Raw genomic sequence first — 14,898 nt, 5'->3', positions numbered from 1 at the left:
GAGCCCTCAGAAATAATGCCACATATCTACAACTATCTGATCTTTGACAAACCTGAGAAAAACAAGCAATGGGGAAAGGATTCCCTATTTAATAAATGGTGCTGGGAAAACTGGCTAGCCATATGTAGAAAGCTGAAACTGGATCCCTTCCTTACATCTTATACAAAAATTAATTCAAGATGGATTAAAGACTTAAATGTTAGACCTAAAACCATAAAAACCCTAGAAGAAAACCTAGGCAATAGCATTCAGGACATAGGCATGGGCAAGGACTTCATGTCTAAAACACCAAAAGCAATGGCAACAAAAGCCAAAATTGAGAGATGGGATCTAATTAAACTAAAGAGCTTCTGCACAGCCAAAGAAACTACCATCAGAGTGAACAGGCAACCTACAGAATGGGAGAAAATTTTTGCAATCTACTCATCTGACAAAGGGCTAATATCCAGAATCTACAATGAACTCCAACAAATTTACAAGAAAAAAACAAACAACCCCATCAAAAAGCGGGCGAAGGATATGAACAGACACTTCTCAAAAGAAGACATTTATGCAGCCAAAAGACACATGAAAAAATGCTCATCATCACTGACCATCAGAGAAATGCAAATGAAAACCACAGTGAGATACCATCTCACACCAGTTAGAATGGCGATCATTAAAAAGTCAGGAAACAACAGGTGCTGGAGAGGATGTGGAGAAATAGGAACACTTTTACACTGCTGGTGGGACTGTAAACTAGTTCAACCATTGTGGAAATCAGTGTGGCGATTCCTCAGGGATCTAGAACTAGAATTACTATTTGACCCAGCCATCCCATTACTGGGTATATACCCAAAGGATTATAAATCATGCTGCTATAAAGACACATGCACACGTATGTTTATTGCAGCACTATTGACAATAGCAAAGACTTGGAACCAGCCCAAATGTCCAACAATGATAGACTGGATTAAGAAAATGTGGCACATATACACCATGGAATACTATGCAGCCATAAAAAATGATGAGTTCATGTCCTTTGTAGGGACATGGATGAAGCTGGAAACCATCATTCTCAGCAAACTGTCGCAAAGACAAAAAACCAAACACCACATGTCCTCACTCATAGGTGGGAATTGAACAATGAGAACACATGGACACAGGAAGGGGAACATGACACATCAGGGCCTGTTGTGGGGTGGGGGAAGGGGGGAGGGATAGCATTAGGAGAGATACCTAATGTTTAAATGGCGAGTTAATGGGTGCAGCACACCAACATGGTACATGTATACATATGCAACAAACCTGCACATTGTACACATGTACCCTGAAACTTAAAGTATAATAAAAAAAGAAAATAAAAATGTGTCAACGTTATGTACTTGAGAAATCCTATCTAGATTATTAAAAAAGAAAATAAAGTTAGCAAGAAAGTAGATTACTGTGCAAAATTAATTTTTATCTCTGATAAATCAGTGTAGAAATGTTAAATAAAAATAAACCACATTTATTTGCCATTTTCCTGTTTGCTTTAATAAGAGATAATACACTCTCCAAAGACATTGTTAAATCTCATCCTTACTCTTTCTTTCCCCTCTACCCTCTGGTTACCGTGAGAATTAAGGTCTTTAATTCCAAAGGAGAGTTGTTGTGAGGACAATCTGTGCTTTCCCTGGGAAAATGAATAAGCAGGGTAAGAACAAGTAGAGCAGATTTCTCACAGGAAGATGATTGTGGCTGCATGTGGGTCTAGATTGCTTAAGAGGCTAAAGAGGAGAGAAGTCACAATCAAAAAGGGCATGCCTATAATCCCAGCACTTTAGAAAGCTGAGGTGGGTGGATCATCTCAGTTCAGGAGTTCAAGACCAGCCTGGCCAACATGGCAAAACCCCATCTCTACTAAAAATGCAAAAATTAGCCGGGCATGGTGGCAGGCGCCTGTAGTCCAGCTACTTGGGAGGGTGAGGCAGGAGAATTGCTTGAACCCAGGAGGTAGAGTTTGCAGTGAGCTGAGATGGCACCACTGCCCTCCAGCATTGGCAACAGAGCGAGACTCTGTCTCCAAAAGAAAAAGAAAGGCCTGCCTGTGGCTGTGACCCAAGGGCTTTCCAATCTAGATTCTAGATTTGTGCCAAGAAACCCTTTAGAGATGTCCATTTTTCTTTCCCCTTTTAGTGTCATTTAAGTACATATTCTATTTGCTTATTTATTTACATATTTATGTTCAGATTTCCTAGGATGTTAAAGAAAAATGATGTATATTGTGATTGATTTACAACTGTATTGCCATTTAATTGCCATACTTTGAAATGTCTCTATACTGAGAGGTAACATAGTCAACATTTAGATGACCATCTTTTCATACAGAAACACACAAACACACACACACACACACATACAGTTGTATGTAAATAGTATCATTTTATACATGCTATTTTATCATGGACATCTTCTTCTGTCTTTTTGCCTAGTTTCATCTTCTTTTCTAATCATCTTCATCTCTAAGTTAGCCAGTCTTAAAATCTTAATGTGTATCTGTCCCAATTTTTTTATTGTACAATCACATACAAACTCATGTATTCATATATTATATTCAGCACATAGAATATAACCAAGTATTTAGAACAGTGTCTTGAATGTCATAGATGCTCAGTAAATATTTGTTGAATAAATGAATGGTTTGCCTTAGAAAAATGAGATCATATTATATATACGTGTGTGTATGTGTATGTTTATATTACATATCTGGCTTTTATTGCTCAATATTCTATGTATTTTTTCATATAGATTTAATTCTTATAAATGGTTGTATAATAGCCCATGGTTATGAAAGTAATATCAATTTATTTAACTAGATCCCTAATTGATAGTTTAAATGCTTTTACTTTTTGCCAGTATAAACAATAATAGCTAACACCTATTAAGTGTTTATCATGTGCTAAGTTTTTTTTTTTTTTTTTTTGCGCTTTACATGTATTAAGCTACTGAGGGGTTAGGTTATTCTCCCCATTTTAGAAAACTGAGCAGGAGTAGGTAAGAAACGCCCCAGGCTATATAGCCAATAGGTGGCAAACTAGTCAGTATGGCTCCAAAGTATATTTCACTAAACTACTTTTATAGAAGGTAGTAATCAACACTATTGTAGAAACATTCTAATTGAATGGTCCTTTATTTCTATTCAATAGTTTATCTGGTGTGGAATTACTGCAGAACCATATGTGTGTATTTTATATTGCTAAATTGCTCTGCAAAAAGGCAGTAACAGTTTACATTTGCACTAGCCATGTATGAGACTATTCTTTCCTCTAGCAGTATTTTTTTTAAATGTATGTTTTTTATTTCTTTTCTTTTTTTTCAATCTGGTGGGTGAGAAGTGATATTTCATTGTTAAGTCTGTATACTTTGTTGACAGTAGTGAGGTTGAACATCATATGTTCGTCAGTCATTTGGATTAGCTCTACTATAAATTGTTGTATTAGGGCTCTCCAGAGAAACAAAACCAATGTGTGTGTGTGTGTGTGTGTGTGTGTGTGTGTGTGTGTAATTTATTTTTATTTATTTTAAAAAATTGGTTCACATGATTATGGAGGCTGGCGAGTCCAAAATCTGCACGGTAGGCTGGCAGGCTGGAGACAAAGACAAGACAATGCTGCAATTCAAGTACAAGGGACTTCTGCTGCACAATTCTTCTTTCTCAGGGGAGGTCAATGTTTTTGTTCTATTCAGGTCTTCAACTGATTGGATGAGGACCACCCACAGTATATAGAGGACAATCTACCTTACTCAAAGTTCACTGATTTAAATGTTAATCTCATCTAAAAGTACTCTCACAGAAACATCCATAATAATGTAGGCCCAAATATCGGGACAATATTACCCAGTCAAGTTAACACTTAAAATTAACCATCACAAATATCTACTAATATATTTTCCGTTTTTCTTTTCTTTTTTTGAGATGGAGTCTTGCTCTGTCACCCAGGCTGGAGTGCAGTGGCATGATCTCGGCTCACTGCAACATCTGCTTCTTGGATTCAAGCGATTCTCCTGCCTCAGCCTCCCTAGTAGCTGGGACTACAGGTGCGTGCCACCATGCCCCGCTAATTTTTTGAATTTTTAATAGAGACGGGGTTTCACCGTGTTAGCCAGAATGGCCTCAATCTCCTGAACTCGTGATCCGCCCGCCTCGGCCTCCCAAAGTGCTGGGATTACAGGCGTAAGCCACTGCCCTCGGGCTTTCCTCATTTTTTGATTGAATTGCTTACATCTTTTTATCGCCTTGAATATTATTGTAATCAACCCATTAAATGTTTTGCGAATATTTTGCCCTCTTTTATATCCTTTATTTTTTTACCCTATTTCTCATCATTTTAAATTTTAAATTATTATTTTGAATACTTTATAATCAGTGAATCATTGAAATTGAGATGAAAATTTGGACACTGTCATTTTGATAATCACTTTTGAGTTTATAGTCTTCTAAGGTGATTTTAGGAGATTTTTCAATATTTATTTTCAATATGTATTCAATAAATATTTATAATTTTTAGTCATTATTCAATATTTATTTAAAATCAAATTGTTCTTTCAATTCTAATGAATTTTTGGAAGATGTTGAAATTAGATCTGCTCTTTTCCAAAGTAAGGAATCTAGAGCAAATAGTTCCCACATGTGGAAACTATTGTTAAGAGGTTTTAAAAGTTTAAACTACTCATATGTAATATTGGTTACAATGTTTAATTCTTAGAAGAACTAGTCGAATTAATTTCGGAATTTGTTTATTCCATACCACGTTTATTTTAAAATTTTTCTTCAAAATTGCTTAAAACATAGTCTAAGCAAATTGTTGAAACGTTGTTCTCATTCAATTTGACTGTCAATTTTAATTTTTAGTAAGTATATATATATGTGCTATTCCTGCTTGTCAAGCCAAAATATGAAAATTCAGTTAATGAGTAACAATATTTAAGCATCAGAGTCTGTTTTAAAACTGAAAAAAAAATGTATGTGTACTAAGGAAAAGCTTCAGCCTCTCAGTCTCATGCAATTTTCTATTCATTTAATTTTTATACATTACTTCTTATAACTACTAGCATCAAATTAGTATCTTGCTATATTTTATCTCATATTATCACAGAGGAAAAAGTACTGTATAATTATATATACCCTTCAGTATATGATTAATAGTCATTATAATTAATATTTTTAAATTAATTTGTGATTTTTGTTGCAGGATTCATTTTTTAGTAAAAGCTTTTATATCCTATATGTAAGATAACTCCCTATTCCTGTGATATAACTTGTGTTAGATTATGGGTTCTGGAAGGCAAGTAACAGACTTAAAAAAATTCACTTAACTTCCAATCATATATTGTTTTTATATTGTATATTCAGTTGGTGGACAACATGAGGGCTTTTGAGTTAGGGAAGGGAAAGAATCACTTAATACTGAAATAACTTATTGTAGGAGCCTGATGAATCTTTTCCTTTGGAAAGCAGACAGTTTTAGTGTGGTGTCATCTATAATAGGAGGTCTTGAGGACGTTAGAGAATCTTAGAACTCAATTATTATCCATGTTTTTACACCCCTTTCAGTAATGATTTGGAAAAAGATGTAAAAATTTCAAAAAGGGACAGGTGAACTGTGGGCTCTGCATAGTATGGTAATTAAAAGGTTGGGTTTTACAAACAGACTCAATAGTGCCAAGAAAAGGATGGGTGGGTTTTCGTTTTCCCATCTCCATCATATTCTCAATATTCCTCAAATAATAGCAATACTAAGATTAAAAATATACACGTAAATGGGAAGAAAAGCCTATGTAGAAAATTTTGCTATAAAATAAAGGGCTTTAACACAAATATTATTTCTAGACTATTCCCTCCCCTTAATCCCTATCAGCCCTCTAACACATTTGAAGCTCCTAATGAATAGTAGCCCCCTGAAGCTGCTAGGTCAAACTGCCTGAACTTGAAGACGGGCCTTCCACTTATTAGTGATTGAGTTACTTAAAATAAGAATGATAAAAACCTGCTTCATGAGGTGTACTCCTCACTTTATAACTTTCACCTGCTGCTATCTGTTCTATTTTAGGAATTTATCATTTTTTGAGGAAATTAAAAGAACAGAGATAAAATCCCTGTCATTTATAAAACTCACAGGATAAAAACAAAAAACCCCTCTGTCGTGGGTTCTTCTGTCCATATGTAACAATCTGTTTCATACCTGGATCTCATATATGAAAACCTAAATTATTGTATAAGATACACGAGAGTGGATTTATCAGACAAACGTGTATTTCACTAATGCAAGGAATTTAACCTATCAAAGACTTTCCCTATTTGCTGCAGAAAATTTTAGAAATGCAAGCAATAAAATCAAAATTTAAAAAAATCTTATATTTGGCATGTCGAAGAACTCTTATACTTCCAAAAGTGTAGTTATTTGTAGTTAGTGATGAACCTCTCTACACATCTTAGCCCTATGTAATGTTGGGGGTAGAAAAGGAGTTTAGAGATTTTGAGAAATCTTAGGCTAGTTGAAATACTTCAGAAACGTCAGGATGTTGAATTACCATCCCTCTGACTTAGAGAAATACCAACACTCGGGAAGATTACCATCAGAAACAACTTTGAAAAGTTTAATTTTGTCACTGTTTTTAAAATTAGAAATAATGTAAATAAAGTACTGAAACAAAGTAGTCTCACAATAAATAGTAGCTATTCCTGTCACTTGTTGCAGTGGAGGCCCAATATACATTGTATTCTCATATTTGTACTTCCTCCCAACATCTAGCGCATATTTGGCCAACATATAAATATTTATCGAAAGAATGAATGACATCAATGACAGGTTGGTAGCACTCCGCTGTCCGATGGTCCAGGTTAGGCCGTGAGGCCACGAGGAAACTACGGATAAAACAGTATCCAATTTGCCTATACCGCCTGCTAAACTACAAGTCCCAGTACGCAAACTCCATGGTTTCAGGGCATACTGGGAGAAAGTCTCCGGCTCTTCATTGGCCACGTAGGAGAAGCTGTGGTTTGTGTAAAAGCGCGGGCTTAACGCACGTACGCACGGAGACTGCGCAGATCTCCTCGTCTGAGTTCCGCGGAACTCATTTTGAGTGTAGGCGTTTTAGCCGGTAGGGTTTAAGAACAGTTTCATTTCCGGAGCCACCGGAAGCAGCTTGCAAATGGCGTCTCCCTCGCTGGAGCGGCCAGAAAAAGGCGCTGGAAAAAGTGAATTTCGTAACCAGAAGCCGAAGCCGGAGAACCAAGGTGATGTTATGTGGGAACCGAAGCCTGGGGTTTGTGTACGTTGAGTTGCGATGTTTTTTTCTTTCGTTCCTCGTGGACTTATAAAACCACCTGGAGCCTGTACTGTGTAGTTGAGTACCTGAATAATCGCTGATAAGATTTTGGCTGGGCCCACAGGAACGGCTGGCCGATATGGTGCCACCCAGGTGTTCCTAATTCATTGCTTTTGCTAAAGGGTCCCCAAAGCGAAGCTGTTGCGGATTACGTCTTTTGTAAAAGGATGAGTATTAAGAAAATGCCTAGGGCGACGCAGAACCTTGTAAGCCTGCGGGTGGCTGAAAGTCACTGACGGAATGAGGAATAGGGTGAGGTGGGAATAGGTAGTCATGATATACAAGAGTGGACCCTGATAATGGGGTGAGGTATGGGGAAAGGAGCTATCCGACATGTCCTTAGCTCTAGTTTGTCAGTAAAGACATTTTGAAAGATTATCAATTCCTGTTTGTCAGATGCTAAAATATTAGACGACACAGCCCTTACTGTTTAGGTTGTGTTACCTTTTAATTGTTAACTCCTGCGTTGTAGTCTGGTTTTACCCGTTTTCTTCAGTGTGAATGATAGAGAAGTCATAAATAGCCTGGGGATCTGTTCAACCAGGCTTATAGGAAGTGTTAAAAACATTGAACTCTCAATTTAGATGCATTGGGAAAGTATTCAAAGTTTCTTTGTTGTTGCTCATTAAATGATTATGTAACGTACATAGCAGGGGATACAACTTATATAGAGTTTAATAAAACCATGCGGGAAACTAGCATTCAGACTAAGTAAAATAGAGCATTACCATACCCCTCAAACCCTTACGTGCACCTCTCAGATCATATTCTCTTTTCCTGTATCAGACGTAACCACCCTGAATTGTGTTGCATTCTGTTCCTCTTCTTGTAGTCATGAAGTGGCTTAATTTAGCCTGTTTTTTAATTTTATATACATGAAAGTGGACCGTATGCATTTTTCTGTGTCTTCTTAGATTTAGCTTTTTGTTTTTCAAACAGGGTGATACTTGCGGGTGTAGTTTTAGTCTTTTCACTGTTATGTGGTGTTTCCTTGTATGAATATACCCCAATTTATTTTTTCATTTTACTATCGGTGGACATTTGGATTGTTCCCAATTGCTTGCAATTATAAACAATACTGCTAAAACATCTTTGTACATGTCTTCTGGTTAACATGTTCAAGGGTTTCTCTAGGTTGTGAACATAGGATTGGAATCACTGAAGTGTAGGGTGTGTGTAAGTAATGCTAACTTTTTTCCAAAGTGCTAGTGTCAGTTTTGTTCCCACTAGGAGTGGACGAAAGTTGTCATTGCCTTACATTAGTATGAATACATGTTATCTGAATTTTGAATTTCTGTCATTTTGGTAGTTATGAAATGGTATTTGGTTGCAGTTTTAGTTTGCATTTTCTGATCACCTATGAGGTTGCATATCTTTTCACATGTTTTGAGGCTTCCTTAATTGTGAAACTCCTGAGTATTTCTTTTGTCAGTTTTTTTCCTGAGGTTGTAGTGGGGATTTTAAAAAAAATTATCCATAGCCTTTGAAGTGTTTAAATTGGATAGGGACTTCGTCAGGTAAACATTGTAAGTAACTAGTTGCAGTGACTCACACCTGTAATCCCAGCACTTTGGCAAGCTGAGGAGGGGGGATTGCTTGAGCCCAGGAGACCAGTCTGGTCAACATGGCAAAACCCTTTCGCTACAAAAAAAAAAAAAAAATTAGCCGGACATGATGGCACATGCCTGTAGTACCAGCTACTTGTGAGGCTGAGGCAAGAGAATAGATCGCTTGAGTCCAGGAGGTCCAGGCTGCAGTGAGCTGGGATGGAGCCATTGCACTCCAGCCTGGGTGACAGAGCGAGGCCCTGTCTTTAAAAAAAAAAAAAAAAAAAGAAATGTGTATAGTATATAAGTAATCACTTTTGTGGAATTCGTGTTCTTTAAAGGACATTGGAGAATCCTTTATATGAAGACTAGCCAATTGTCTGTGATTTGAACCAGAAATAGCAACGTGGATGTGAGTATAAGCAGAAAGTTTACCTGTCTGAGGCTGCTAACATAGGGTAATGACGTGTTTTTCAAACTTTACCGTGCTTAAGAGTCTCCTGTTGAGCATGGTAAAACACAGATTCTTGTCCCTCGTCGAAGAGATTCTCATTCAGTAGGTCTGTAGTGGGGCCCAATAATTGCATTTCTGACAGACTTACAGTTTGTGCTGATACTGCAAGTCTATGGATCATACCTTTGAGTATAACTGAATTAGAGTATAGCTATTGAAATTAAGGAGTTCTTCAAATTCAAGATCAAGAGTTTTTTAAATAAATGATTCAGAAGATAATTTACGGCCCTTAGGAGGCATTTTCTTGTAGTGAAAGGAGTCCCAGGCTGAGTGAGCTTTGTGTTCCCTTAGGCAAGTCACTTAACCTTTTTAGACCATCTTCTATAAAATGAGAATAATAATACAGATTCTACCTTTTATAGTTACGATGAAAGGCGTATGGAAATAAGGCACTCAAAATGCTTAGGAAAATCTAGAATTACCAGTGATTATTAACTGAAAGATAAACTAGAATTCTCTTTCAGAAGTTTTACACAAACACATACATCCAGATTCCATACACTCCAGGAAAGTCAGAAAGGTTAATTGTATTTAAAATACTAACCAAAATGGCATTCAAATCTTCAATTTTATGATAGTGTAGTGCAGTACATGTTTCTGGAGTACTCACTATCTGCCTGGCATATGCCAACTAGTGTGAAGAGGGTTTCTGCTCTTAAGGAACTTTGTCATATGAGGCAACTGAAATGTGTACAGATAATTTTAATACAGAGAATTGATGATAATGACAGAGGAACGTTCTTTGACTCTTGAATAATATAAAAAGCAGGGGAAAAGGAAATGCAAGGAGTATTGGAAGGTTTGTGAATATGTGCATAGGATGTTCATAAAGTGTCCAAAAGACAGTTAAAATGTGATGTGTATGTCCAAAAGACAGTTAAAATGTGATGTGTAAATTTTTTCCTTTCTGTAGATGAATCAGAACTCCTTACGGTTCCTGATGGTTGGAAGGAACCAGCTTTTTCCAAAGAGGACAATCCCAGAGGACTTTTGGAGGAGAGCAGTTTCGCAACTTTGTTCCCAAAATACAGGGAAGCTTACTTGAAAGAGTGTTGGCCATTGGTGCAGAAAGCCTTAAATGAACATGTATGTGTATCTTATATCAATACATTTATTTGAGACTTTGCTCTTGCTTATGCCTTTAAATGTATGTATGCTAATGCTTTTTTTTTTTTTTTAATGGTGCTAACATAGCTGGTTACTTTGGTTCCTTTGGTATTCTAAACTATTTAAGTAAGTTTTCTTCTTACCTAATGTTCATTTGTTTTAATTTTATGAGTAATAAATTACTTTGAAAAATTTACATACCTTTAATATTTTAGGAGCTTCACAACTGTCTGAAATTCACCTGTGAAGTCCCAATTTCAGTATGCCTGCTCCAGGCCATGATAGTTGTCATGTATCTGTCCCAGTCTGAGCTGAGTCATGTTTCTAATTGATTACCTTTCATCTTAAATGGAAGATGTGGATGTGTCCAACTTTTCCTTGTTTATTGCTGATGCTATGCCCCTAGATAACTGCATTTTTTTTTTCAAACTGGGGATTGAAACCCATTAGTGTATTGAGAAGTCAATTTAATGGCTATAATGAGCCTTTAGAAAATGACATATCACATGGTAAAAGTATCTTTTTTTGATATTGGCTTTGTTTGTGTGTGTGTGTATATGTATTAGGTTGTGATATAAAATGTGTTTCTAACTGTGGGACTGCTCTGGAGTTGGTTGTGCCATTGTGGGTGAAGGTGGCTCAGCAAGCTGCAGGTTGTGTTTTGTAGCTGCATCTGGGATTGAGCTCATTTTTTTTTTGTAAACTCATAGAGACTCAACCATATGTTGAATTGTTCAGCACTTAACTATGTTGAAATATTCTTGAGATTATGCTCACAAGTGAGAAAATAGCATTTTAATTCGCTTTGTTGAAATCTGTTTTTTCCTGTTGAAAGTTAATGCTTAAGTTTTCTAATCATTGCTTTTTTCTGAAACTATGATAATTTGCTTTTACTTTGTATTTAGTCCCCTAATTAGCTCGAAAAAAGTTTGAAAGGGAAAGTCAATTCTTACCCAATGGAGCAGATGGTAGACTGGAGCTGGGTCCAGAATAGGGAAGCTGTACAGCTTTACATTTTTACCTTAGTCAGATTTTAAGTATGACCTCATTTGTTTGATTTATAATTTTTAAATTAGAGGCAATCTATATTCCAGTGGGTACAAAGTATTCTAAAACCAAGGGTAAATGGTTTCAATTGCTCCAGTTTCTTATAGTCTGTAAAGTGTGAAAGTAATTGAGTATTCATTATTTATACTTAACTACCTAGCTTCTTCAGGGAAGTAATTGATAGGAATTGAGAGGTGACAGAAATTAATAGGTTGGTTAGGAGAGGCTTTATAATTATCTAAAAAAACTCATTTTTAGACAACTGCTTGTTTGCTCTTTCCTTCTGTAGCATGTTAATGCAACCCTGGACCTGATCGAAGGCAGCATGACTGTTTGTACTACAAAGAAGACTTTTGATCCATATATCATCATTAGGGCCAGAGATCTGATAAAACTGTTAGCAAGGAGTGTTTCATTTGAACAGGTAAATCTAGAATTACAGAGACTTTGCTTTGTTTGCATCAGTGTTAACCTATAACATCCCACCATCAAGTTTTCATATTTGTGCTTAGGTAACAATAGCGTGGGCCTGGAAAATGAATGTAATTGTAAAAAATGTTGATAATGTCTTCTTTTTTTTTTTTTTTTTGCAAAAGGCAGTACGAATTCTTCAGGATGATGTTGCATGTGACATCATTAAAATAGGTTCTTTAGTAAGGAATAAAGAGAGATTTGTAAAACGAAGACAACGGCTTATTGGTCCCAAAGGATCTACATTGAAGGTATTTTTTAATTAGTGGAAAACTTGAGTCTCTTCCTTAATACTTTTTCAGAGTAATGAATTTTAACTTGATCTCTTGATACAGGCATTGGAACTCTTAACTAATTGTTACATTATGGTTCAGGGAAACACAGTTTCAGCCATTGGACCTTTTAGTGGCTTAAAAGAGGTGAGAACTATGTATTATCTTCGATTCATTTTCAGCAGAGAACAAATAATTTGGTTATAATATAGTTTATTGGATAATGCTTTATAATTTTATTTCTTTAGAATGTGCTTTGATTTCCCATTAGTAAATACTTTTTATGTCATATAATTCAAGGGAATCATCATATCTGGACCCTAACATGTTTTGGCCAACCTTGGCAACTATGGAGACATCCATTTCTGAATTAGATGGTCTGCACACTATTACTCCTCCCACTATAAAATTTAAATGAGCATTAAGATCTTCAGTCTGTAGCATGTATGAACATGGTATAGTTACATATGTCCAAATGACGGGAAAATTGAGCAAAAATCCAGTTATTTGCAGTAGTGTATACAGCCAGTAGAGGTCACACTCTGAAAACTTTTCTTCAAGATGTAGTTTCTTTTGTTTGAATTTTAGTATAATGTTTAATAACTTTTCATGAACATTTTCTTTAACTTCTCAAATTACATGTGGTGAGGAAATCTGTGGAGCAAATGCTGTTTCTGTTAACTCCTTTTGGTACTATTACTGTCTGGATCTGGCTTGTGAGGTTGTGCTTCCTTTCCAGGGCCTTTAATAGTAATCCTATTGGCCTTTTTTGTCATAAATTGTCTGCTCTTTTCTCATGGAGCAATAATTAAGTATATTGAATACAATTCTTACAAGAGAGTCTTGAGGTATATGGTTTTATCTTATATTACAAATGAGAAAGCTGGAACAGGAAAGTGATTTTCCTGTATGCAGTGGCAGTCCTTGTATTCCAGCCCTCTTCCTCCTAAATCACATTGCTTTAGAGTGTTGTATTAGTTCTCTGTGCTACATTTTAGCAGTAATTGAGAAACTGTATTGTATTCAAGGGAGATTGACTGCCTTTATGAAAGATGGAGAAGCCACTCAGAGCAGTTGAAGGAACTACTTAATTATTTAATTACATTATTTAATTTGGTACCCATTACCTGATTTTTGCAGTATTAATCCTCTTCTCCATAGCTCATTAAAATCCTTGTGACTAATTCATTTTTCTTTGCAAATTTCAGGTTAGAAAAGTAGTCCTTGATACTATGAAGAATATTCATCCAATTTATAACATTAAAGTGAGTGGTAATTATATATAACTGTACCAGTGATTATCATACTTCTTTTAGCTACAGAAACCTTTCTTGAAATTAAATGTTTTATGAAATTCTAATGCACAAACAGATAAAGCAGAGCTATTTTGGGTAAATTAGGGGTAGACTTCAGCCTACTTAATTCTACCCCAGTTTTGTAGGTACTTCTTAGAAGCTCTCTGTGGAGCACAGTGTGAAAACTACTGAAGGGGATACTGTAATATGTTATATAGTTGTAATCAATGAAAGTAAGCTTCACAGAATCTGTTGTAGATCATATCAATCCAGTTTTCTTAGATTATGAACCCATGTATTTAAGGATATGATCTTTCGGAAATCTGCCTTTTTCTATTAAAATCTGGAACATCTCATGTTGCGTTAAAACCTTTTTATGAATTTAACACTCAAATTGTAGCTCCTTTGAGAGAGAACTGTTATATCCCTGTGTGCACAAAGTTTGATTATTCTTGGAAATGTAACCATGGTATATAGAACTATTTTATGATGGGTTTGTTGAGCAATCCACTTAAATTTGATGAACTTAAGTTATAAAGTCACTGTTAGATTGGGGGAAAGTGATTTTGAGTTACATTGGGATATTGGGATATTGCAGACAAAAACAAAACTATGTGTCTGATCCCTGGTTTGCATCCTCTGATGTTCCATGGTCTGAAATTTAAATGGAATAGGGAAATGTGAAAATACTGGTTTTCTGTAATCGTGAGAAAGTTTACTTTTGTCTTTTTCTGTGATATTTCAGTTGCTACTGAAAACTTCCTGCTTGCAGGGAACATCAGCTAATTAAGAGCCCTCCCTGCTTTTATAAGTGGCATTTTAAATGTTTTAATGAAATAATGGTTGAAAATTCAGTTTTATTTTTGTCTCATTTTAACAATTCTGCATTTTGTAATTAAATTTCTAATGGTTTTCTAATAATTATACATGTTTGTGATAACCTACCTTTTTGCTTATGTAATTGGTTTAATTTCACCAAAGAAACTAGGAACTGTTTCTTTTATTATTTATAGAAGCAATATTTATAATGTCTGAGTCTGACAAATGTGTGACTTTGGAAAGTAAAAATTTTTACTTTGTTGCATGACTAAAGAGCTTAATGATTAAGAGAGAGTTGGCAAAAGATTCTGAATTACGATCACAAAGTTGGGAGAGATTTTTGCCACAGTTCAAACACAAAAATGTGAATAAACGCAAGGAACCAAAGAAAAAAACTGTTAAGAAAGAATATACGCCATTCCCACCACCACAACCAGAAAGTCAGGTTAGTACTAAATGTAGAACTTCATATGAAG

The 14,898-nt window shown here is 35.7% G+C and overlaps 1 protein-coding gene across 2 annotated transcripts in view, besides 3 other annotated features; it reads left to right on the top strand.

Annotated features, from left to right (window-relative positions):
* Positions 6,861-7,404: an enhancer, noted in NCBI's record as "H3K27ac hESC enhancer chr12:75905147-75905690 (GRCh37/hg19 assembly coordinates)". NCBI's record gives its function as "activates a minimal SCP1, AML or CMV promoter by ChIP-STARR-seq in primed H9 embryonic stem cells {active_cell/tissue: H9 hESC(primed)}" and the evidence as "EXISTENCE:reporter gene assay evidence [ECO:0000049][PMID:30033119]".
* Positions 7,162-14,898, top strand: part of KRR1 (KRR1 small subunit processome component) — a 20,747-nt gene continuing 13,010 nt past the window's right edge. The window contains exons 1-7 of one of the 2 annotated variants that reach the window (NM_007043.7): positions 7,162-7,258; positions 10,325-10,497; positions 11,855-11,989; positions 12,162-12,287; positions 12,372-12,455; positions 13,517-13,573; positions 14,697-14,867. In NM_007043.7, the coding sequence (NP_008974.5) occupies positions 7,174-7,258; positions 10,325-10,497; positions 11,855-11,989; positions 12,162-12,287; positions 12,372-12,455; positions 13,517-13,573; positions 14,697-14,867 (831 nt within the window). In that variant the 5' untranslated portion in view covers positions 7,162-7,173. Of the gene's footprint in view, positions 7,294-10,324; positions 10,498-11,854; positions 11,990-12,161; positions 12,288-12,371; positions 12,456-13,516; positions 13,574-14,696; positions 14,868-14,898 lie in introns of both variants that reach the window. The other variant, XM_047428133.1, reaches the window with a different exon arrangement.
* Positions 7,195-7,354: an enhancer, noted in NCBI's record as "active region_6670". NCBI's record gives its function as "activates an Ori minimal core promoter by ATAC-STARR-seq in GM12878 lymphoblastoid cells {active_cell/tissue: GM12878}" and the evidence as "EXISTENCE:reporter gene assay evidence [ECO:0000049][PMID:35858748]".
* Positions 7,405-7,949: an enhancer, noted in NCBI's record as "H3K27ac hESC enhancer chr12:75904602-75905146 (GRCh37/hg19 assembly coordinates)". NCBI's record gives its function as "activates a minimal SCP1, AML or CMV promoter by ChIP-STARR-seq in primed H9 embryonic stem cells {active_cell/tissue: H9 hESC(primed)}" and the evidence as "EXISTENCE:reporter gene assay evidence [ECO:0000049][PMID:30033119]".

Source organism: Homo sapiens, chromosome 12, assembly GCF_000001405.40.
Source record: "Homo sapiens chromosome 12, GRCh38.p14 Primary Assembly".
NCBI lineage: Eukaryota > Metazoa > Chordata > Mammalia > Primates > Hominidae > Homo > Homo sapiens.
Note: the sequence above shows the minus strand (reverse complement) of the source record. Positions and strands in the feature narration are given on the sequence as shown.